The sequence below is a fragment of the Homo sapiens genome, chromosome 11 (assembly GCF_000001405.40).
Source record: "Homo sapiens chromosome 11, GRCh38.p14 Primary Assembly".
NCBI classification, from domain to species: domain Eukaryota; kingdom Metazoa; phylum Chordata; class Mammalia; order Primates; family Hominidae; genus Homo; species Homo sapiens.
Window position 1 is genome coordinate 61778796 of NC_000011.10, and position 20064 is coordinate 61798859.

At 53.5% G+C, this 20064-nt stretch overlaps 3 protein-coding genes and 1 non-coding gene across 27 annotated transcripts in view, besides 9 other annotated features; 2 read left to right on the forward strand and 2 right to left on the reverse strand.

Annotated features, from left to right (window-relative positions):
• MYRF (myelin regulatory factor) overlaps positions 1–9723 on the forward strand; it is a 35883-nt gene extending 26160 nt beyond the window's left edge. For 5 of the 24 annotated variants that reach the window (XM_005274227.2, XM_047427533.1, XM_047427535.1 and 2 more), the window contains 12 exons: positions 468–628; positions 703–775; positions 1047–1135; positions 1427–1495; positions 2162–2250; positions 2343–2534; positions 2778–3029; positions 4718–4805; positions 5056–5130; positions 5485–5590; positions 7005–7079; positions 7268–9723. In XM_005274227.2, the coding sequence (XP_005274284.1) occupies positions 468–628; positions 703–775; positions 1047–1135; positions 1427–1495; positions 2162–2250; positions 2343–2534; positions 2778–3029; positions 4718–4805; positions 5056–5130; positions 5485–5590; positions 7005–7079; positions 7268–7348 (1350 nt within the window). In that variant the 3' untranslated portion in view covers positions 7349–9723. Of the gene's footprint in view, positions 1–467; positions 629–702; positions 776–1046; positions 1136–1426; positions 1496–1916; positions 1998–2161; positions 2251–2342; positions 2535–2777; positions 3030–4702; positions 4806–5055; positions 5131–5484; positions 5591–7004; positions 7080–7267 lie in introns of all 24 variants that reach the window. The other 19 variants (XM_005274222.2, XM_005274228.2, XM_024448677.2 and 16 more) reach the window with 7 other exon arrangements.
• Positions 551–1219: an enhancer, noted in NCBI's record as "H3K4me1 hESC enhancer chr11:61546818-61547486 (GRCh37/hg19 assembly coordinates)". NCBI's record gives its function as "activates a minimal SCP1, AML or CMV promoter by ChIP-STARR-seq in naive H9 embryonic stem cells {active_cell/tissue: H9 hESC(naive)}" and the evidence as "EXISTENCE:reporter gene assay evidence [ECO:0000049][PMID:30033119]".
• Positions 1890–2558: an enhancer, noted in NCBI's record as "H3K4me1 hESC enhancer chr11:61548157-61548825 (GRCh37/hg19 assembly coordinates)". NCBI's record gives its function as "activates a minimal SCP1, AML or CMV promoter by ChIP-STARR-seq in primed H9 embryonic stem cells {active_cell/tissue: H9 hESC(primed)}" and the evidence as "EXISTENCE:reporter gene assay evidence [ECO:0000049][PMID:30033119]".
• Positions 6291–7035: an enhancer, noted in NCBI's record as "H3K4me1 hESC enhancer chr11:61552558-61553302 (GRCh37/hg19 assembly coordinates)". NCBI's record gives its function as "activates a minimal SCP1, AML or CMV promoter by ChIP-STARR-seq in naive H9 embryonic stem cells {active_cell/tissue: H9 hESC(naive)}" and the evidence as "EXISTENCE:reporter gene assay evidence [ECO:0000049][PMID:30033119]".
• Positions 7036–7780: an enhancer, noted in NCBI's record as "H3K4me1 hESC enhancer chr11:61553303-61554047 (GRCh37/hg19 assembly coordinates)". NCBI's record gives its function as "activates a minimal SCP1, AML or CMV promoter by ChIP-STARR-seq in naive H9 embryonic stem cells {active_cell/tissue: H9 hESC(naive)}" and the evidence as "EXISTENCE:reporter gene assay evidence [ECO:0000049][PMID:30033119]".
• On the reverse strand, positions 10154–13804 carry TMEM258 (transmembrane protein 258). Its single transcript, NM_014206.4, has 4 exons — positions 13761–13804; positions 11698–11807; positions 10990–11126; positions 10154–10440 (listed from the first exon to the last, which is right to left on the reverse strand). The coding sequence occupies exons 1-3, from the start codon at positions 13761–13763 to the stop codon at positions 11000–11002; spliced, it is 240 nt and encodes a 79-aa protein (NP_055021.1). The 5' UTR covers positions 13764–13804; the 3' UTR covers positions 10154–10440; positions 10990–10999.
• Positions 13052–14029: an enhancer, noted in NCBI's record as "NANOG-H3K27ac-H3K4me1 hESC enhancer chr11:61559319-61560296 (GRCh37/hg19 assembly coordinates)". NCBI's record gives its function as "activates a minimal SCP1, AML or CMV promoter by ChIP-STARR-seq in naive and primed H9 embryonic stem cells {active_cell/tissue: H9 hESC(naive and primed)}" and the evidence as "EXISTENCE:reporter gene assay evidence [ECO:0000049][PMID:30033119]".
• Positions 13052–15005: a biological region, named in NCBI's record as "NANOG-H3K27ac-H3K4me1 hESC enhancers GRCh37_chr11:61559319-61560296 and GRCh37_chr11:61560297-61561272".
• On the reverse strand, positions 13700–13766 carry MIR611 (microRNA 611). The gene has a single exon (NR_030342.1). It is a non-coding gene; the product is annotated as a microRNA 611 (primary transcript).
• Positions 13822–14116: an enhancer, noted in NCBI's record as "tiled region #5973; HepG2 Activating DNase unmatched - State 1:Tss, and K562 Activating non-DNase unmatched - State 1:Tss". NCBI's record gives its function as "activates a minimal TATA promoter and a strong SV40 promoter by Sharpr-MPRA in HepG2 and K562 cells {active_cell/tissue: HepG2 | K562}" and the evidence as "EXISTENCE:reporter gene assay evidence [ECO:0000049][PMID:27701403]".
• Positions 14030–15005: an enhancer, noted in NCBI's record as "NANOG-H3K27ac-H3K4me1 hESC enhancer chr11:61560297-61561272 (GRCh37/hg19 assembly coordinates)". NCBI's record gives its function as "activates a minimal SCP1, AML or CMV promoter by ChIP-STARR-seq in naive and primed H9 embryonic stem cells {active_cell/tissue: H9 hESC(naive and primed)}" and the evidence as "EXISTENCE:reporter gene assay evidence [ECO:0000049][PMID:30033119]".
• FEN1 (flap structure-specific endonuclease 1) lies at positions 14116–18443 on the forward strand. Its single transcript, NM_004111.6, has 2 exons — positions 14116–14233; positions 16546–18443. The coding sequence occupies exon 2, from the start codon at positions 16567–16569 to the stop codon at positions 17707–17709; it is 1143 nt and encodes a 380-aa protein (NP_004102.1). The 5' UTR covers positions 14116–14233; positions 16546–16566; the 3' UTR covers positions 17710–18443.
• Positions 16551–17051: an enhancer, noted in NCBI's record as "H3K4me1 hESC enhancer chr11:61562818-61563318 (GRCh37/hg19 assembly coordinates)". NCBI's record gives its function as "activates a minimal SCP1, AML or CMV promoter by ChIP-STARR-seq in primed H9 embryonic stem cells {active_cell/tissue: H9 hESC(primed)}" and the evidence as "EXISTENCE:reporter gene assay evidence [ECO:0000049][PMID:30033119]".
• Positions 18444–20064: the final 1621 nt, after the last annotated feature.

The window sequence follows — 20064 nt, forward strand, 5'->3', positions numbered from 1 at the left end:
TGGTTACCTCCAGGCTGAAATACGTGGTTTATTGTGAGGACGACGTTTGTCACTTACCTGTCCTGAGTCTGGGCGCCAAGGAGGCATGTAATAGGTCTCCACCCCAGCTGAATAGTGAAGTGCTGACATCTGAGACACCAGTCATCCGAGGGGCAGATCCCGGGGCTGCAGCCTTCAGGCTTAGGAGAGGAGAGCTCTGGCAGGGAGTGGGGAGGGCCATTCAGGCAGGTGGGACAGCCCAGGTGAAGGTGCAGAGGTGGAGGTGTTGCTCGGAGACAGGCACAGGAGCTGTGGGAGCCGAGGCTGGATTGGAGGGGCCCGCCCAGGTAGGGAGACTTTGAGGGCCTCCCAGTGGCCAAGGACAGTGGCCGCCCCTCCTGCCCCCTGATGTCTGGCAGCCTGGGGCTCCCGGGGCTGACTGGGCCCTCTGTGTTGGCCCATGGCCCATGGCCCATGGCCCATGGCAGGAGCGCATCTTCATGGAGAACGTAGGGGCCGTGAAGGAGCTGTGCAAGCTGACAGACAACCTGGAGACGCGCATTGATGAGCTGGAGCGCTGGAGCCACAAGCTGGCCAAGCTGCGGCGGCTCGACAGCCTCAAGTCCACCGGCAGCTCGGGCGCCTTCAGGTAGGGGTGCGGGGTGGGGGAAGGTGAGACCCTTCTTCCCAGGGACACCCCTGATCCTGGCCCTCTTGCTGCAGCCATGCAGGGAGCCAGTTCAGTCGGGCGGGCAGCGTCCCCCACAAGAAGAGGCCCCCCAAGGTGGCCAGCAAGGTAGGGGTGAGCAGGGATGGCAGGCGGGTTGGAAAGGGGGCCTCCCTTGTGGCCTCCCTTTCTGGCTTGCAGTTCTCCAGCCTCACTGCCTCTGGTGCTTCCCTCTCCTTGTGACTCTGTAGCCCTCCCAGCCCCGTTTCTCTTTCTTCTCCCTTTGCCCCCGGGGAAATGGGGCACCCCCTTAACCGCTCCTCCGACCTCCAGCAGAGCCCACTGGGGACAGCCTCAGCCTGGCCCTCTTTGCATTTGCACTTTTCCTCTTGGTCCTCAGTCATCGTCCGTGGTTCCGGACCAGGCCTGCATCAGCCAGCGCTTCCTGCAGGGAACCATCATTGCCCTGGTGGTGGTCATGGCCTTCAGGTGACTTGTCCCCTGGGCTCTCATGGTGGCTGACTAGGGGAGTGGAGCTGCCCAGTGGAGTCAGCTGCCCATGGGCTCAGGCCTGGGGGAAGAGGAGGATGTAGCTTGGGAGATCAGGCAGCTGAGGTCTCGGTGAGGTGGGCCTTTCTGCCTCTTCCCCTCTGGGGTGACCCATTTTGTAGGCATCACCTGGGAGCCCAGCCTCAGGAGCAAGGACCACAGCCTTGTCCTAGAGAGAGGGCACTGGATGGTGGCTCCAGCTCTAACGGTCACCCTTTTCTGTGGCTCCAGCGTGGTGTCCATGTCCACACTGTACGTGCTGAGCCTGCGCACAGAGGAGGACCTGGTAGACACTGATGGGTAGGTTCCTGGAGGCCAAGCCAAGCTGCCAGGCCAGGTGGGGCTTTGGTGGGCAGTCCCAGGTCAGAGAGCCATGAGACTGTCTTCTCTAAAGGAGTTCATCCTTAGCCTCTTAGCCTGCTGGGGTGCTGTGGGGATCCAGGGAGGGCCTCCTTGGAGGGTGGGCAGCCTTTCCCAGTCCCTGCTGACGCTGATGTTTCTGTCTGGCCTGTTTAGTGCCCCTCCAGGTAGCTGGGCCTGCGAGTCAGGGCTGTCTGAGGGGCTGGGGTTGGAACATGGGGTAGGAGGAAGGAGGGCCAGGGCAGGGCCTTGGGCTCTGTGAGCCCACTGTCACCCCCAGCTCCTGGGGCCACCTCTGACTGTGTCTTCTCTTCTCTTCCCCTTTGCCTGTCTCACCCTTTGCCTTTTTGCTGCCCCTTAGCTCTTTTGCCGTGTCCACTTCCTGTCTCCTGGCCCTGCTCCGGCCCCAGCCCCCTGGGGGGAGTGAGGCCTTGTGCCCATGGTACGTGCTGACCAGCGCCCCTCTCCTCTGGCTCCTGCTGCCCCTCTTCCTGCCTCCCTCCCCTCCCTCTCTGCCTCTTCCTGCCCTCCTGCCTCTCCAGGACTGTCAGGCCCTCTCCCCTCAAGCTCTCCCAGCCCCTCTGAGCTCAGCCCATCCTTCCCCAGCAGGTCCAGCCAGAGCTTTGGGACCACGCAGCTCCGACAGTCCCCCTTGACCACGGGGCTACCAGGCATACAGCCCTCTTTGCTGCTGGGTGCGTGTCTGGGCAGGTCTGGGTAGGACAGGGAGGTTGCTATGTTCTGTCTTTGGGGCTTCTCTGGCTCATACAGCCTCTGGCCTCCTCAGTGACCACCAGCCTCACCAGCTCGGCCCCAGGTTCTGCTGTCCGCACCTTGGACATGTGTTCCAGCCACCCCTGCCCTGTCATCTGCTGTTCCTCACCCACTACCAACCCTACCACTGGTCCTAGTCTTGGCCCCAGCTTTAACCCTGGCCATGTTCTCAGCCCAAGTCCCAGCCCCAGCACCAACCGCTCAGGTAAGGCTTTCTGTGGGCTGGGGCTTGGGGCGGGGGCTACCTGCGTAGAGAGAAAGGCCCAAATACTCATTGGTGGGAGGGTCTCCTGGAGCCTAGAACGAGGCTCTGGACAATGACTGGGAAGTTCCCCTGAGAGGACCAAGAGACACATGGGGTTCACTCAGTCTTGTGGGGCCCTAGAGACAGCTGGACAGGAAGCAGCCAGCTTCCAGCTTCTTAGCCTGTGCCTGGTTCTATCCACAGGCCCCAGCCAGATGGCCCTTCTGCCAGTCACCAACATCAGAGCCAAGTCCTGGGGTCTTTCAGTCAATGGCATTGGCCACTCCAAGCATCACAAGAGTCTGGAGCCTCTGGCCAGCCCTGCAGTCCCCTTCCCTGGGGGGCAGGGCAAAGCCAAGAACAGTCCCAGCCTTGGTTTCCATGGCCGGGCCCGCCGAGGGGCCCTCCAGTCCAGCGTGGGCCCTGCTGAGCCCACCTGGGCCCAGGGCCAGTCAGGTACTTGCTGCACCCCTGACACTACCCAGCCCAGCCTGGCAAGGCTCACTGGCCAGGGCCCACCTCAGCCCAGTCATGTGACTGTCTGGGTTCAGACTTGTCAGTCAATAGACGTTTGCTGAGCACAGAATAAGGATCAGGAATCAGGCCTGCAGCCTTACATAGATCATCCCATTTAGTCCTCACAGCACTCCTGCAAGAAAGGAATTGTTGTTCCTATTGTTCAGCTGAAGAAATGGGATGGAGACTAAGGTGAAGTGACCTGCCCAGGGTTATACAGCCCCTCCGAGGCAGGGCTTGTATTTGATCCCGAGCCTGGCTCCTCCTTCGCCATGCCAGCACCAGGAGGGTGCTATACTGGGTCTCCCCTACTATTTCCCAAACCTTGGATCTTTGGTTTTAACAAAGCTACAGAACCTTTTATTGTAGTTTTCAAACTGGGTTCCTCTGAGGTACCCTGGGGGCTGCGCTGGGGGCTGCCCTGGGGGTTGAAGGGGAGGCTGGGAGGCTTCCTGGCTTCAACCAGGCAGCTCTGCTCTCACCAACTTTCATCTGATGGATTTTGTGGCTTCAAGAAAAAGAAAGCCTGGAAAATGTGGCTTACAGAGATGGAAATTCAATGTGATGGGGGAACCCCATGGGGGAGATGTTTGCCAGGCACCTGTTTACTGAGCTGCCTGCCACTCTGTGGCTGGCTCTGTACAGGGGACTGGGGGTGATGAAGATGGACACGCCCCTGTCCCCAAAGACCTCACAGAGATGAAAACACAGCAGTGTGATGAGGCTCTGAGGGGACATGCAGGTAGCTTTGGGACTGGGGAGGACACTTAATCCGGACGAAGGTGGGGAGGATCAGGGAAAACTTCTCTGGAGTTGGTGACATTTGAGCTGACTCTTTAAAGGACCTTTGGAATTTGCCCAGAAGGGATGTGGGAAGGGCACCTTCCATCTCGTCTGTATCTGATACCTGTCCTGACCACACAGGGTGTCCTGGATCCTGTTGGGGTCCTTGGGTCCCTGGGTCATGCCTCAGAGCTGAAAACGTACCAGGTCCAGCAAATGTTCAGCGGCCCCAGCTTCCCCCTTCCTGGGTGGATAGTCAGGCAGCAGCAAGACTGTATGTGAACTAGATGAGCAAGAAGTCCTGTCTCCCCCATCTGACTTGTCACACTTCAGTCCCACCCCTACCCAGCCAGCCAGCCTGCAGTCGGTTTGTTCAGGGAGGCTGCGAGGAGCAGCGTGCTGGTAGCGGTGTAATCATCGGCCTCGGGGCAGAGGGGAGCCTGATTTGTGTGATGCTGTCAACACTGCTGATTTCAAGCTACCAGTGTAACTGATGTTTCTGAACCCAGAACTGGGAGAGATGCCCGCAGTCAGGAACACAGGCCTCGAGCGGGCTCCTGCACACCTGGCAGGGGATGTGAAGACCCATCCCTACTTCTGGGTGTTCCAGTTCTTTTGAGGAGGCAGACGTCAGGCTCATGGGAACTGGGTAGTCCTAGGGCTGCTGAGGAAAGGGTGTAGTGTGATGCTGGCCATTGTGGAGGTCTGGAAAAAAATAACCTGGAACTTATTCATACTAAGGTGTGAGTGACTGCTTCAAGTCTGGCAAGGAAAGACTTGCCAGCTTCTCATTTGTGTCCTGCCTTGTCACCTTACTCCTGCCCCAACAGCCTCTCTCCTTGCAGAGCCAGTGCCCTCCCTGACCTCCATCCAGGTGCTGGAGAATTCGATGTCCATCACCTCCCAGTACTGTGCTCCAGGGGATGCCTGCAGGTGGGCTGGGCTCCCTCCCCTCACCCAGGGAGGTCCTCAGGTGACATGAGCCCAGGTGGTACAGATCACCCGGAACTTGCCCTTTCAGGGAGGAGCCTCCCCCATAAGGAAGGGTAGCCCCTTTCCAGGCTACCCTTGGACACTGTCTCTTCTGGAGGGCTCCAGTACAGATTGGGGGCTGAGGAGTCCCTGGTGGGGGTGGGGGGTGGCAGGGTACCCTCAGGCTAAGGTGCCAGTTTTGCCCCTGCAGGCCTGGGAACTTCACCTACCACATCCCTGTCAGTAGTGGCACCCCACTGCACCTCAGCCTGACTCTGCAGATGAAGTGAGTGCCGGTGTGGGGAAGTGGGAGGCAGGAGGGGAGCCAGGGAGAATCTCCCGCAGAGCCTCAGAACAGCCGAGTCTGAGGACAGCCGGAGAGTCTCTGGTATTTCCTGCATGGTGGGATAAGTGCTGACTTCATTGCCTACTTCGTGGTTAACTGGCTAAATGACCTGGCCTCATGGGCTGAGGACCACATGGGATGGTCGATGGGAAAGGTTTTGTTCGAGGGCCCTGGTTATTATGCGGTGTTTCAGGCTGGGTGGAGATTCAGAGGCGTGTGGCAGGCTGGCTGGGAGGGGGCTGGGGTTGAGGGACTCTAGAACCTCATTTCTCTGCTAACTGGGCCTGTCTACAGCTCCTCCTCCCCCGTGTCTGTGGTGCTGTGCAGCCTGAGGTCAAAGGAGGAACCATGTGAGGAGGGGAGCCTTCCACAGAGTCTCCACACCCACCAGGACACCCAGGTAGGTGGGACTGGGAAGCTGCGGGCCGGCCAGGCCCGAGCTGCTTCTCTCCTGGCACAACTGGGCCCCAAAATGGGCAAGGAGCAGAAGCTGGGAGTTATAGAGTAAAGCCTTCTCCACAAGGGACACTCTGGGGCCTGGGCCTCTGTGTCCCAGGGAGGGGCACGCGTGCCCGTGTTTGTTCATTGCACTCTGCTGAGCATCTCCCAGCCCTGCCGTGCTGGAGACGTGGGGAAGACAGCAGATCACAGGTGCTAATGTGGATGAGTGCAATGATGGAAACAGGCAGGTGTCTGGGAGCCCATGGCGGGGAGGGCTGTGGCTCACTGGAGGTGTCTGCAGAAGCAGGAAGGAGCCGACCTCATGCTCAGGTTGGGGAAGTGGCACAGCTAGATGTACAGCATCAGAGGGCCCCTCAGGTTCCATGTTTGGCCACCTCTTCTGGGAGAACTGGATGGTGAGCTCCTCCCTGGCCAGGTAACCGGAAGTTATGACTGTCCCTGGGGCTGATGGACCCCCAGTTTCTTCTTGAGCCTAAGAGGCCATGGGAGAAGACGCTCAGGACAAATGAAGGGAAGTAGTGATTATTTTTTCTTGCCCATTCATGTGTTTACTCAGAAAATATTGATTGGGGCCCCATCTGTCCCAGGCCCTGTGCTGGGTGGGCCTAGCTGCAGGGGAGAGAGGTGGAGTAGACACAGGTTTTGACTTCCAAGAACGTACTCTATAGTGAGGGAGAAAAGACGTGCAGAAAGCACCTGCAACAGAGGTGGGGGTGCTTCTGAGGGAGGCCCGAGCCCTGTCGCCCTGCAGAAGAGACAGGGTCCAAGACAGAGGGAGAGCCCAGCTAGACACACAGCAGACATGGTGCTCGGGCCTGAAACCACATCACAGACGCACAGCCAAAGCCTCAGGTAGATGGGCAAGCTGCCTGCAGCCAGGCTGCATGCCACCCTGTGAGGGAGACAGCCAGACAGACCTGGGTTTGAATCCCAGCTGTGTGATTTTGCCACACTGTGTGATTTTTAGGAAGTGGCTCAGTTTCCTCATCCAGAAGATGGGGCTAGTAGCAGCACTGTGTCACTGGATTGTACTGAGGATGGGGCTAATGAAATACTTTGATGTGCCCAGAGCATAGTGGGTGAGGGAACCCAGCACAACAGGACTGGGAAGGAGGCAGGGGCCAGGTGGAGGTGGCTGTGGACCTGCCAGTCCCGGGCACGGTCTGCATGGAGTAGCTGCCATTGCTCCTTCTGCCAAAGCAGAACATGCTCCTTCCTATCTCTTCAAAGTTCTCTGCTTTTTTCCTTCATAAAACTCCCCACAGACCCCAGGACTGCGACGGCCGTGGTGAGAGATGCTGGTTGGGATAAGGGCAGCAGTCTGTCCTGACCCCTCTCTCCCTTCTCTCCAGGGCACCTCTCACCGGTGGCCAATAACCATCCTGTCCTTCCGTGAATTCACCTACCACTTCCGGGTGGCACTGCTGGTGAGCAGGGGCATCCCACCTACCCTGGAGGTCTGGGCACCCCTGTCTGCGACGTGGGGCTTGAGGAATGGGGGGTTTGCACAGTATGTGGTAGGGCTGGGGGCACAGTGTCAAGCAATGTCAGCAGGGAGTGCCATCTGCCCCGCACCCCCAGAGCCACCTCACCTTCCCACTGCCCTTCCACCCAGGGTCAGGCCAACTGCAGTTCAGAGGCTCTCGCCCAGCCAGCCACAGACTACCACTTCCACTTCTACCGCCTGTGTGACTGAGCTGCCCTCCTGAGGCAGCACCACACCAGGGACCAGGGGTGCCCAGGCACCCCCCAACACTGGATGCAATGGTGTTACACTGGAGCCCGCTGCAGGCCAGCTCTGCTGTTCACTGGCCCTACCCGAGACTGGTGAAACTGGAAGTCTTCACACTGGAGTTGCTGTTCCAGCTGGTCGCCCCTCACGGCACAGAGGGAACCTGAGAGCCAGAGACTTCTTGGGCCTTCCTGCCTGCCACCCCCTAGGGGCCAGGACAGGACCAGTTTACCTCTTTCCAGATATGGTGGTTGGAGGGCTGGTTCAGGTGCCCTGGAGGGAAGGGGAAGCCTGTGGCCCTGATTTGTTCAGAGCCCATTCTCCCTTGCCTCCCCTTTTGAGACTGGAGCCAACCCTTTTGGAGAGAGGACCTGCCCACCTTTGAGATCAGCAGGGGGCTCGGATCCAGCCCTAAGAGACTTGGGTGGACCCCCATGAGTCAATGGAGGGCAGACGGCTCTCCCCCTTAAAGCTGTTCCCTGGGGGATGGCTTGGTAGTGGACTTTCTGGGGTTTGCCTGTTACGCCAGACTCGGACTTCTAAGCTTTAAGTGTGGCCCAGGAGGTTTCTTCTCCCTGGGAGGGCTTGGCTCCCAAGAAGTCCCAGGGCAGCCGAGGCCAGCCCTGCCTGGGTTGGAGAAACTGACTTTGTGCCTTAAGTCTACTCAGTGCCTGGTGAAGCCACCCTCAGCCCTTCACAGGCCTGAACCAGTAGGGGCCAGTGGGCCAGGTAAGCCCTAGAGCCTTGAACCAGGAATATCCAGGAAGAGGAAATTCCCTTTGAGCCCCCAGATGGTATTGCAGCTTCACTGCCTGCGTTCCTGGGAGCGTCTGGAGCTCACAGTGATCAGTGACCACATCATTCTCTCTGAGCAGAGGAGCAGGAATCCCTCAAGCAGCAGCCTGGTCTTGGCTGGTGGGCAGATGCAAATAGCTTTTGCTGTTATTAATGAAGTAATTACTAAATGCACTTAAACCAGGGCAGGAAGGAATGGAAGGATGGAGCTAGAAAGCTCAGAGTGGGCCAGAGCAGGGGTGTGACACTTGCAAAGACAGGGCTCTGACTCTGATCCCTCCCAGGGAGCCTCCGACACCCATCCCACTCCCAACCACCAAGACCCTGGGTTAGGGAAGAAGTTGTATCTTAAGTGCCACCTTCAAGTTTCTTAGTGGTGCCTGGTGCATTCCGAGGCTACATCCAGGCTCATGGAAGGAGTGTAGTATTCATTTAGCCATGTCTGCCATGGGTCCAGAAATGGGAAAGGGAATTGCTGTCCTTGCCCTGTGGTATGCTGCCACCTCTTTGGGAAGCAGGCCTTGCCCCTGTCCCACCACTCATTCTCAGCTTTGAATGGGAGGCCTTTCTATAGTGGAGGCCTTTCCTTGAAGCCTATGAACTGCAGGCCCCCTTTTGCCATTGATCTCAAAGCACTTGTCCTCAGGATAGGGAAGAGCAGGGGGATGCAGGAATAGCAGGGATAGCTTGCTCCCAGCCCCCTCCCCAATTTGGTTCCGTTGACATAGGAATTTTACGATTCCCAAACCATGCAGGGGCTGAGCCTTCCTTATGATGACTTTGTTCTCCCTCCCACTGGGGGAATCCTCCCTATGCCTTAAAACTGCCGAGCCCCACTCCATGTAATAGGATTCCTGGGCTTCCTCAATGGGGGTTCATGTTCTTGGACTGCGGGCCCTCAGTCCTTAACTGGAAAGTGACCGTCCACTGCCCCATGGAGCCCATCTGGACACAGCACAGCCCCAAAACCGTTAGCAGCTGGCTCTGTTTCCAAGCCTGGGGAGGGGTTCCTCAGTGCAGGAGTTGGGGACAGGCTGGGGATCCAAGCTGCTTGAGGGGGTCAACCTTGGACCAAAGTTGCCTTAAGCCTGTGGTAAAAGGGCTTCAGGGAAGGTAAGTGGGCCACCTGCTGGAAGCTGCCAGCTGCCCGGCTGGCAATGGTGTGAGTGTCTTGGCCCTGTCCCTGCCCTGGGGTCCAGCAGGTCATCCCTCCCTTCTTCTCTCTCCTTTGGCGTTTGTTCCTGTAGTCACTGGGCTAATCTCCCCCTAGCTTCAAGCTGTACATAGGGCCTCCCAGTGCAAATCCTCCTGCCCATACCGTGCACCCTTAGAAGCCTGCGTGTGCATAGAGCGCCCCCTACTTCCCAGTTAACTCCCAGTTCTTCTCCCTGAGCTTGGTATTTGTCATGTGCCAACTCTGACTCTGAGGTGGGCAGTGAGGGAAGCAGCCCCGGGCCTGCTTGCTTCCTGTCCCCGAAATGTTCGTTTCTTCTGAAGTAAATATACATATATAAATAAATGTATAAATACTGCTTTGTATCTGAGCTTGCCTCCTTGTCTCTTCTTGGGATTGGTCTGGTGGGAGAGGAGTCACCTATAAGGCTAGGGCCAATTGGAATTCAAAGTTCTTCCTGAGAAGCCTGGAATCTCTGAGCGCCTGAACCAGAGGGCCAAATGGATGCTTCATACCCCTTATCCTCTTAGCTTCATATTGGGGCTAGGAGTGGACTCATCAGCCTCTCCCATGGCCACACCTTCCCCTCCTGCGCACCCGCTGCTGCCCACCTGCATTAAAAGTAGCCACTGAGGAGAAAAGCCTTCTTAGGGGGAGAAGCTGAGCCTGGTGAGGATGCCCCAGCACAGAGAATGGTGGCTATGTTTATGGCAGGGACTGGCCTAGGGCAGAATGGACCGATGTGGGTTCCCAGAGAAGTTTGTCCTAGAAACAATAGAAAAGGGTAGGCCCAGACCCTATCCACAGGTAAGCCTTAAATTCCAATGACAAAACACCGGTGCTACACAAATCTCATCCCCCTTAAGTAGATCAGCAGCAGGAACTGTGAAAGGCAGATGAGAAATGGGAAAGGGAAGAGATTGGGGAAGCAATGTAGGTCCCAGCACCCACCACCCCTGCAGAATGGGCCCCAGACAGGACTGCTATACATCTGCATTTATTATGAGCAGCAGGTGGGACACTTCCAGCAACAGTAAAAAAAAGTAATTTACAAAAGCAGGTTTCAGTGAAGCCATCTGGTTGTTACCTAAAAGAGGAGAGGGGTATCAAAATAAGACCAATGGCCCTTCTTTCCTCCTTCTCTCCCTGCACCCCTGTGCTCCTGGGGCAAGGGCTATTGAGCACACACCTCTGAGGATGAGCCACCAGAGCTGATTCCTAGTGGCCTGTTTGGTGGATTGTCTGCAGCAAGTTTTAAGCCCTGGATCTTGACCCCCTTTCAGCCAGCTGACTTCCCAGCAGCCTCTCCAAGTCACTGGGGTCTGACTTCTAAGAATGTAAATGTACAGCCATGGGATGCCTGCGTCCACACTTCTAGGTGGTACATCCCAAAGGCAGATCGAGGCCTTGGGCCATGTGAGCTCAGAACTGAGAGTCACATTTGGCTCAAATCCGTATGAGGGGCAGGGAAAGAGGCACAAATGTCTAGTGTCCCTACCCATTCCACTGAGTCTGTCTCCATCAACCAAGGGGTCATGCTGGTAAGAGCTTTAAGGACCCTGCTGACCTGACTCTGGGGAGGCTTCCCTGGGCTGTGCCTTGGAGGCTCACGCATCCATCCCATTGCAGCTCTTACCCTTGGGTGCTCACACGTAGATGCCAACCCAGAGCAGCAGGAAGAGGACTCCAAAGCCCATGAAGAGTGAGGCCACTAAGGAGATGAGGAGCTCTTTATAGATATCACGAGTGTACTTGGTAGAGGTGACCTCGTAACTGGGCACAGCAGTTAAGGCAAAGCGAAGGGGTGGACTGTGGAGTGCAGAGAGCCCAGCCCACGGCAATCTGAGGAGAAAAGCATTGGCTCAATGCCTTCTGGGAGGCCTATCTGGCTCAGAGCAGCCAGGCAGAGGGGCCTAAGAGATGCCTTGGACTCTGGTGCTCCACTGCCATGAAGAAAATGAGACCCAGAGGAGTTAGGTCACTTGCCCCAGGTCACACAGCTCATGAGGGCCGGAGCTGGGACTAGCCCTCAGACCTCCTGACACCTGAGTGCACCCTTCCTTATACCACCTTTCCAACTGTAGCACCCCTATTCCCCACCTCCACTCCAGCCAGGTCCCCTGCTCACTGTCCTGGAAATCCAAAGAACAAACTGAGCTCACCTGAACTTGGGAAATAAGGCTATAACCTGCCCCTGGGCATCACTAGCCCTCCTCTCCTCCTTACCTTCTCTCAGCCCCAATCCAATGTACAAAACCGGCGGGGTCCATGTACCTAGCGTGGTTTCTCCCTGAGCTTCCCACATCACTAATGCTGGTCCTCTGGCTGCTCAGTGAAAGGATACACGAAGAACCAGGCGGTGAAGAACATGCCAATGGCCAAAAGCACCACGGTCAGATGGGGGAAGACAGCTGGGTTCACTGGGCTGGTATATCTGCTCATGGCCTCGAGCTCCTAGAGGAGGGAAAGAGATCAGAGCTATCAAAGAATCCCACGATTTCAGCCTGGAGAGAACATGCGGTTATCAAGGAGCCTGGTGCTGCCGTGAAACAGAGGCTGATTTTAGCCCGGAAATGTAGCTGCAGATCAATGGCCCTTATTAGCATTTTCTGAGGCCAATAATCTGACCACTATGAAAACGTGACTAAAGGTACGAACTCTCTGCCTGAGAAAAACCACATACAAGAAAAAGTTTGCCTACAATTTCCGGAGCTTTGTGGACCAGTGTCTATAGACACCAAGCTGAGAACCCCCGCTATAAGTCACTGACTGGTGGTACCCAGATCTCAATATCTTTTTTTTTTGACGGAGTCTCATTTTTTGGACGGCGTCTCACTCTGTCGCCCGGGCTGGAGGGCAGTGGCACGATCTCGGCTCACTGCAACCTCTGCCTCCCGGGTTCTAGAGATTCTCATACCTCAGCCTCTCGAGTAGCTGGGACTATAGGATTACAGGTGCGCACCACCACATCTAATTTTTGTATTTTTAGTAGAGATGGGGTTTTGCCATGCTGGCCAGGATGGTCTTGAATTCCTGACCTCAGGTGATCTGCCTGCCTCGGCCTCCCAAAGTACTGAGATTACAGGTGTGAGTTGCCGCGCCCAGGCTCAATTTTTTTTTTTTTCCAGACAGTCTTGCTCTATCGCCCAGGCTGGAGTGCCTGGAGTGCAGTGGTGCCAACTCGGCTCACTGCAAGCTCCGCCTTCTGGGTTCAAGTGATTATCCTGCCTCAGCCTCCCGAGCAGCTGGGATTACAGGCGTGAACCACCATGCCCGGCTAATTTTTTGTATTTTTAGGAGAGACAGGGTTTCACCTTGCTGGCCAGGCTGGTCTTGAACTTCTGACCTCCTGATCCGCTCGCCTCAGCCTCCCAAAGTGCTGGGATTACAGGAGTGAACCACCGCGCCTGGCCCTCAATTTCTAATTCAGTATTTTCCTCACTACCTATGCTATTATGGAATCTTGTGAGCTATGGTCAAGACATTCAAGTTCTGGTTCTGAGTAATCTGAGTCTGAGTAAAGCGACTGTAATATCTATTTCACAGAACTGAAAAATAAGAAAGATGATGAATCAAAGCATCTAGTGCCTAGCAGGGAGTATTTTGCTCAACAGGTATTTGCTTCCTTCCTAAGGCTGTAGGGAAGATGATGAGATAATGTCTTTTATGAAAGAGGGCTGTAAACGTAAAGATCTGTACAAATGTTAACTTCATTGTCACCGGTCAGCCAATGCTTCTAAAATCCAGAACATAACAACTCTAGAGAAGTAAACTGCCCCCATTGTTCTGAGACACTGGAATTCAATTCAGTAAACAATCACGGCCCCCTTCCCCCAAAATGATAAAGACAATCACTGCCATTTATTGAGCTTCCAATTACGGGCCCTCTGTTTGGCACTGAGAATACAAAGATGAATAGACATCATCCCAGAGCTAGATGCGCGTCAGACGGTGGTCACTAGGAGGCGTGGCCGAAAACAAAGAAGTCCATGGAACGTGGCCAGAGATCTGTACAGAGGCTGTGGGCGCTCCTAGGAAAGTCTGGCCAAGTGCCTGAGAGTTGGAAGTGCTTCACCAATAAACATTTGCCCAGGGCATTGTAGGATGGGCACGGGTTCGGCAGAAGAACTTTCCAAATAAAGATAACACACCACCGATAACAGAGATATACAAACTGGAAGGTATTCAAAATTCGCCCCACGCCTCTCGCCCTTAGAAATCGCGAGCTGAGAAACCTAAGGAGTTCATGGCAAGGGGCTTCCCCCTTCCCCACCCTTCAGCCCAAGCCGGAGGTTCCAGGAGCGTCTAGCCCTCTGGATCTCCGGCGTCTGAGGAGATAAGCGCGGTGTGGGTCAGACCCCGAGGGGTCCTCGCATCTCCGTCTGGAACTCCCCTCAACGCTCTCACCATTTTGCCCCGCGAAGGCTAATCCGCCGCTCCGCCACCGGAAGAACACGTCGGCAGGAGCAGGCGCCTAGCACAACCGGAAAAGGAAGTGCCTCCGGCGCAAGTGGCATTGAGGGACTTGTAGTCCTGCGATTTCGGGTGTAGAGGGAGCAGGGGCCTGCGGGGACCTGGTGTGGGTGGAGTGGGGACAAGCGGTGGAGAAGGGTACGCCAGGGTCGCTGAGAGACTCTGTTCTCCCTGGAGGGACTGGTTGCCATGAGAGCAGCCGTCTGAGGGGACGCAGCCTGCACTACGCGCCCCAAGAGGCTGTGCGTGGCGAGCAGGTCACGTGACGGGAGCGCGGGCTTTGGAAGGCGGCTGAACGTCAGGCCACCCGCCGCTAAGCTGAGAAGGGAGAGCGAGCTTAGGACCGCCTGCCCGGGGCAACCCCGAACCAAGCTTTAGCCGCCGAGGCCGCGTGTCCCAAAGGCCAGGTGAGACCCCATGGGAAGCGCCTCCGGGAGCGACGGGGTCCGCTTGGCGCTGGGGGCCGTGGGGAGCCGGGGTCTGGAGTGCGCGGGATTCGCAGTCAAGAGGTCCCGCCACTTTTCCCCCTGTGAGCCTTGGGCCAGTCGCGTAAGCTCCGAGCCTCTCTTTCCTCCATTGTAGAAAAGCGGTAATAAGTTCCACCTTATGGGGTCGTGTTGTATTTTTCCTAAGACCTTGGACGAGAAACATTTCTGACACTTGAGTTGTTTAGGCCCCTTTCCTGCCTACCTGTCTGTGGGACGCCGTGAGGGGATCAAGGGCTACATGGTCTGGTCCTCAGTCCACACTCCAGCAGCGCGGCCGGCTTGAGGCAAGAGCCGAAGGGTTGAACAGGCCTGGAGAGGGGACATTAGAGGTTTCTGTCTGTTGTCTCAGTTAACCCTGGCAGCAGCCCTGAGAGACAGGCATGGTAATCGTTCTTCTTCTGTAGACGAGAAAATAAACCTCAGTGGCTTGGTAATGTCACACGGATGGTAAATGCCGCGCCTAGATTCAAGGCCAGAGCTTTTGCCGCTGCAGTTCACAGGGGAATTATTCATATTAATCAAATGAATAATTCATTGTCAATTAATTATTAATTGATTAATAATCCAGGGATGGACCTGGAAGGACGCGTGAGAGGATGGCGAGAGGAGGGCACAGCTAAGGAAAAGTGGGAAAAGGCGGGCCTTATTCCAGCTTTCTGTTGAGATCCCAGAATGTAGGGTTAGGTTGGGAACCAGAACATGAAAGATCGTGATGCCATGCTGAAGTGTTTGGACTGAATTAGAAGGAAGAATTGAACAGTCATTGATGCTCTAGAAAGAACCCTGTGAAGAAAGAGTGGGAACAATGAAAAGGCCTGATGGAGTCTTTCGTTTCTTCTTTCTCTTTTCTTTTGTCTTCTTTTCTTTTCTTGACAGGGTCTTGCTCTGTTGCCCAGGCTGGAGTGTGGTGGCACAATCATAGCTCACTGTAGCCTGGAACTCCTGGGCTCATGTGATCCTCCCACCACGGCCTCCCAAAGTGCTGGGATTACTGCCCAGAGCCTCTGTGCCTGGCCCCAGTAGAATATTTCTTGGAGTATTGGACACATACCAACAGTGGGCACAAGATGAGTTTTTTATTTTTTTGAGACGGAGTCTCACTCTCTTGCTAGGCTGGAGTGCAGCGGCACAATCTCGGCTCACTGCATTCTCTGCCTCCTGGGTTCAAGCGATTCTCCTGCCTCAGCCTCCCGAGTAGCTGGGATTACAGGTGCACACCACCACACCCAGCTAATTTTTTTTTTTTTTGTATTTTTAGTAGAGACAGGGTTTCACCGTGTTGGCCAGGATGGCAAGATGATTTTAAATTGCACCCCCTAAAAATCCTTTTTAATAGTTATACATTTAATACATATTAAAATATAACTAATAGAACACAAATATTATTGCTTATGAGTTTTCCAGTTTAGTTTTTTAAAAAAAATTCTAAGTGAATGAAAGTACGGGTTTTAGTTGGAAGTAGCAAAAATCGTGAGGGTGATTTGGGAAACACTGCTATCTGGGAAACACTGAACTCTGAAGTGCAATACTCTTTTGAGCCCAGTGACTACAGCATGCCAGACCCCTAAATCAGGACCTGGGGAGGAGCCATGGAGTTAACATTTCAGACTGAGTGGTGGCGAGAAAACGCAAAGGGAAAGACTTGAAACTCTAGCAACATTATAATAAAAGTAGAAACTCTTATGTGCTGAGGCGATGATGAAGAGAGTTTAGAGAAGCTTGTGAGAAAGCCACATCACCTCCATTCAGATATGTTTGCAATCCTTTTTCAAGGCTGCCTTATTAGTCAGGGTTCTCCAGAGACTCAAAACAAATCAGATCTGTTTGTTTAGCTGGTGTATTTGCCTGTCTTTCAGGTCTGCCATTATGGTCCCTGGACTCCTCAAGCCAGGCCAAGCATCCTGGCCTTCTGTGGTCCTTGATGGAGACCTATGTTGCAGGTTTTTTTTGTGTAATAAATAATGCTGCTACCTTAGAATATCAACAGTATCTTATTTCTCTAAGCACGTGGTTCAATTTCTGGTACTCGTTGAGCCTTACTATTGAGTAAATTCTCCTGCTAGACTGAGTTTTTTGAGAATGGGGACCTTGTTCATCTTTTTATCTTTAGCAGTGCTGACATGGTGTCCTTTTTGTTGTGTGGAATTTAGTTGAAGGCATGAAGTTGGTGAGATAACACCAGTTATAACCTTTCTCCTTTCCTCCGTCTCTGACTTGCCTTTCTTTTTTAGTCATCCCTCCTCTGTGTTGCCATGGGAATTCAAGGCCTGGCCAAACTAATTGCTGATGTGGCCCCCAGTGCCATCCGGGAGAATGACATCAAGAGCTACTTTGGCCGTAAGGTGGCCATTGATGCCTCTATGAGCATTTATCAGTTCCTGATTGCTGTTCGCCAGGGTGGGGATGTGCTGCAGAATGAGGAGGGTGAGACCACCAGCCACCTGATGGGCATGTTCTACCGCACCATTCGCATGATGGAGAACGGCATCAAGCCCGTGTATGTCTTTGATGGCAAGCCGCCACAGCTCAAGTCAGGCGAGCTGGCCAAACGCAGTGAGCGGCGGGCTGAGGCAGAGAAGCAGCTGCAGCAGGCTCAGGCTGCTGGGGCCGAGCAGGAGGTGGAAAAATTCACTAAGCGGCTGGTGAAGGTCACTAAGCAGCACAATGATGAGTGCAAACATCTGCTGAGCCTCATGGGCATCCCTTATCTTGATGCACCCAGTGAGGCAGAGGCCAGCTGTGCTGCCCTGGTGAAGGCTGGCAAAGTCTATGCTGCGGCTACCGAGGACATGGACTGCCTCACCTTCGGCAGCCCTGTGCTAATGCGACACCTGACTGCCAGTGAAGCCAAAAAGCTGCCAATCCAGGAATTCCACCTGAGCCGGATTCTGCAGGAGCTGGGCCTGAACCAGGAACAGTTTGTGGATCTGTGCATCCTGCTAGGCAGTGACTACTGTGAGAGTATCCGGGGTATTGGGCCCAAGCGGGCTGTGGACCTCATCCAGAAGCACAAGAGCATCGAGGAGATCGTGCGGCGACTTGACCCCAACAAGTACCCTGTGCCAGAAAATTGGCTCCACAAGGAGGCTCACCAGCTCTTCTTGGAACCTGAGGTGCTGGACCCAGAGTCTGTGGAGCTGAAGTGGAGCGAGCCAAATGAAGAAGAGCTGATCAAGTTCATGTGTGGTGAAAAGCAGTTCTCTGAGGAGCGAATCCGCAGTGGGGTCAAGAGGCTGAGTAAGAGCCGCCAAGGCAGCACCCAGGGCCGCCTGGATGATTTCTTCAAGGTGACCGGCTCACTCTCTTCAGCTAAGCGCAAGGAGCCAGAACCCAAGGGATCCACTAAGAAGAAGGCAAAGACTGGGGCAGCAGGGAAGTTTAAAAGGGGAAAATAAATGTGTTTCCCCATTATACCTCCTTCACCCCAGAATATTTGCCGTCTTGTACCCTTAAGAGCTACAGCTAGAGAAACCTTCACGGGGTGGAGAGAGGATTCTAAGGCTTTTCTAGCGTGACCCTTTTCAGTAGTGCTAGTCCCTTTTTTACTTGATCTTAATGGCAAGAAGGCCACAGAGGTACTTTTCCTTTTTTAGCTCAGGAAAATATGTCAGGCTCAAACCACTTCTCAGGCAGTTTAATGGACACTAAGTCCATTGTTACATGAAAGTGATAGATAGCAACAAGTTTTGGAGAAGAGAGAGGGAGATAAAAGGGGGAGACAAAAGATGTACAGAAATGATTTCCTGGCTGGCCAACTGGTGGCCAGTGGGAGGTGATGGTGGACCTAGACTGTGCTTTTCTGTCTTGTTCAGCCTTGACCCACCTTGAGAGAGAGCCACCAGGAAGGCGCATCTTAGCAGATGGGAGGAACTGCTGAGAGAAGATGGGCAGAAAGCTGGAGCCCCTGGAGTTGGCTGTGTCTGTGTTTGTGACTGATTACTGGCTGTGTCTTGGGTGGGCAGAAACTCGAACTTGCTATGTAATTTGTGTCTAGTTATTCAGAGGAGTAAGATGGTGATGTTCACCTGGCAATCAGCTGAGTTGAGACTTTGGAATAAGACACTGGTTTTCATGCGCTGTTTTTGTTTTAAAGTTATGAAGAAAAAAGTCAATAAAATTCTAAAAGTAACCAAAATGTCATGTTCTTTGAGAACATTTGAAAATATCCCAAGTGACCATGGCTCCAAATAGCTTTCCTTTTCACTCTTAACATGCTGTAATTGCACTTGATTAACAATGGGTGGTTTGAGAGTGGCCACAAGATGGCACCATGCTCCATAAAATGGCCATAGCAGCTAGATGGAACTTCAGCCATTAGGAGGAGGATGTTTTGTTTATTTTATTTTGCTGGGAGAGGAGTTTTAATACGTTGAATAGATTTCTAGTCTCTCACTCCATGAGATCAAAGGAGTGCCTTTAAGAAAGCCTCACAATTTAGATCAACTACCTCATAACATCCAAGCATTTACTTTGCCACTACTTGTAAACTGAAAGCTGCCATTCAGAAACCATTTTCTTGTTCCTTTTGTAACATCAAATCCAAGATACTGTTTCCCATAGAGATGGCATGTTTTTGAGCTTTGAAAGTTTTATAATCCTGATAAAGCTTGGCCCATTTGAATGTCTGACGTTTTAGCATTCCTGTCAGGGCCATTTGAAGTTAACAGGGACACTTATGTAACTGTCCGAAATTTAAGCTGGCAATGTCTTGACAGATTAAACAGGTAGGGAGCCTGAAGACCAGTAGTTTTCAAGTCTTTTAATGGAGAAACCTATTCTTCAAGTGTAATCTTATGTGAAACTTTAGGATGTACAGGTTCCTCTGGTTGAAGCTGGAATGGGATAAAGTTTACCCAGCAACGGCCTCATAACTAGGGTACTTTTTGAAAACTGGTGTTGACAAAAAGTTCTATCCCAAGGGCAGGTAACTTTTGAAACTGATTTTCCCAGATTATACCAAGCCACACAACTTATTTGAGCTCTATTTTCTGATTCAGGTAGATTGCTTCTAAATCTGCAGTAATGGTGATAGGAACTAAAGACGGTAAGATTTCTTTTTTTTTTTTTTTTTTGAGACAGAGTCTCTTGCTCTGTCACCCAGGCTGGAGTTCAGTAGTGCGATCTTGGCTCACTGCAGCCTCAGCCTCCTGGGCTCAAGTGATTCTCCCACCTCAGCCTCCCAAGCAGCTGGGATTACAGGCACAGGCCACCATGCCTGGATGATTTTTCAATTTTTTGTAAAGATGGGATCTCACTGTTGCCCAGGCTGGTCTTAAACTCCTGGGCTCAAGCAATCCTCCCGCCTTGGCCTCCTAAAGGCTAGGATTACGTGTGCCATTCTCTCCCAGTGCTGGGATTACAGGATGAGCCACCTTGCCTGGCGAAATGTTAAGATTTCTTAGGAGTTATTGCCTCAGTGCAGTAGCTCTTAATAATTAAGGGCTTATACCCTGTGGTGGTCAAGAATGTAGTGGTTTTCTTTTGTCTTTTGAAGGTAAGTTTGTCTCCTATAGAATTTTGTTAATCTGACTTTCTGTGTGCACACTGCAGGGAAGATTAATGATGCCTACAAATGTTTTTGCTCAGAGCTGTTCTAGTTGGATGGTTAAGAGGCACTGCTCTGCAGTCAAGCTCTGAGGGATCACACTTGCAGAGGAAGATTTAGGCAGATAGGACTTAGGGAGACTATTTGGAAACTAGAAATGAGTTTAAAAGTAAAGAGAGGCCAGGCGCAGTGGCTCACGCCTGTA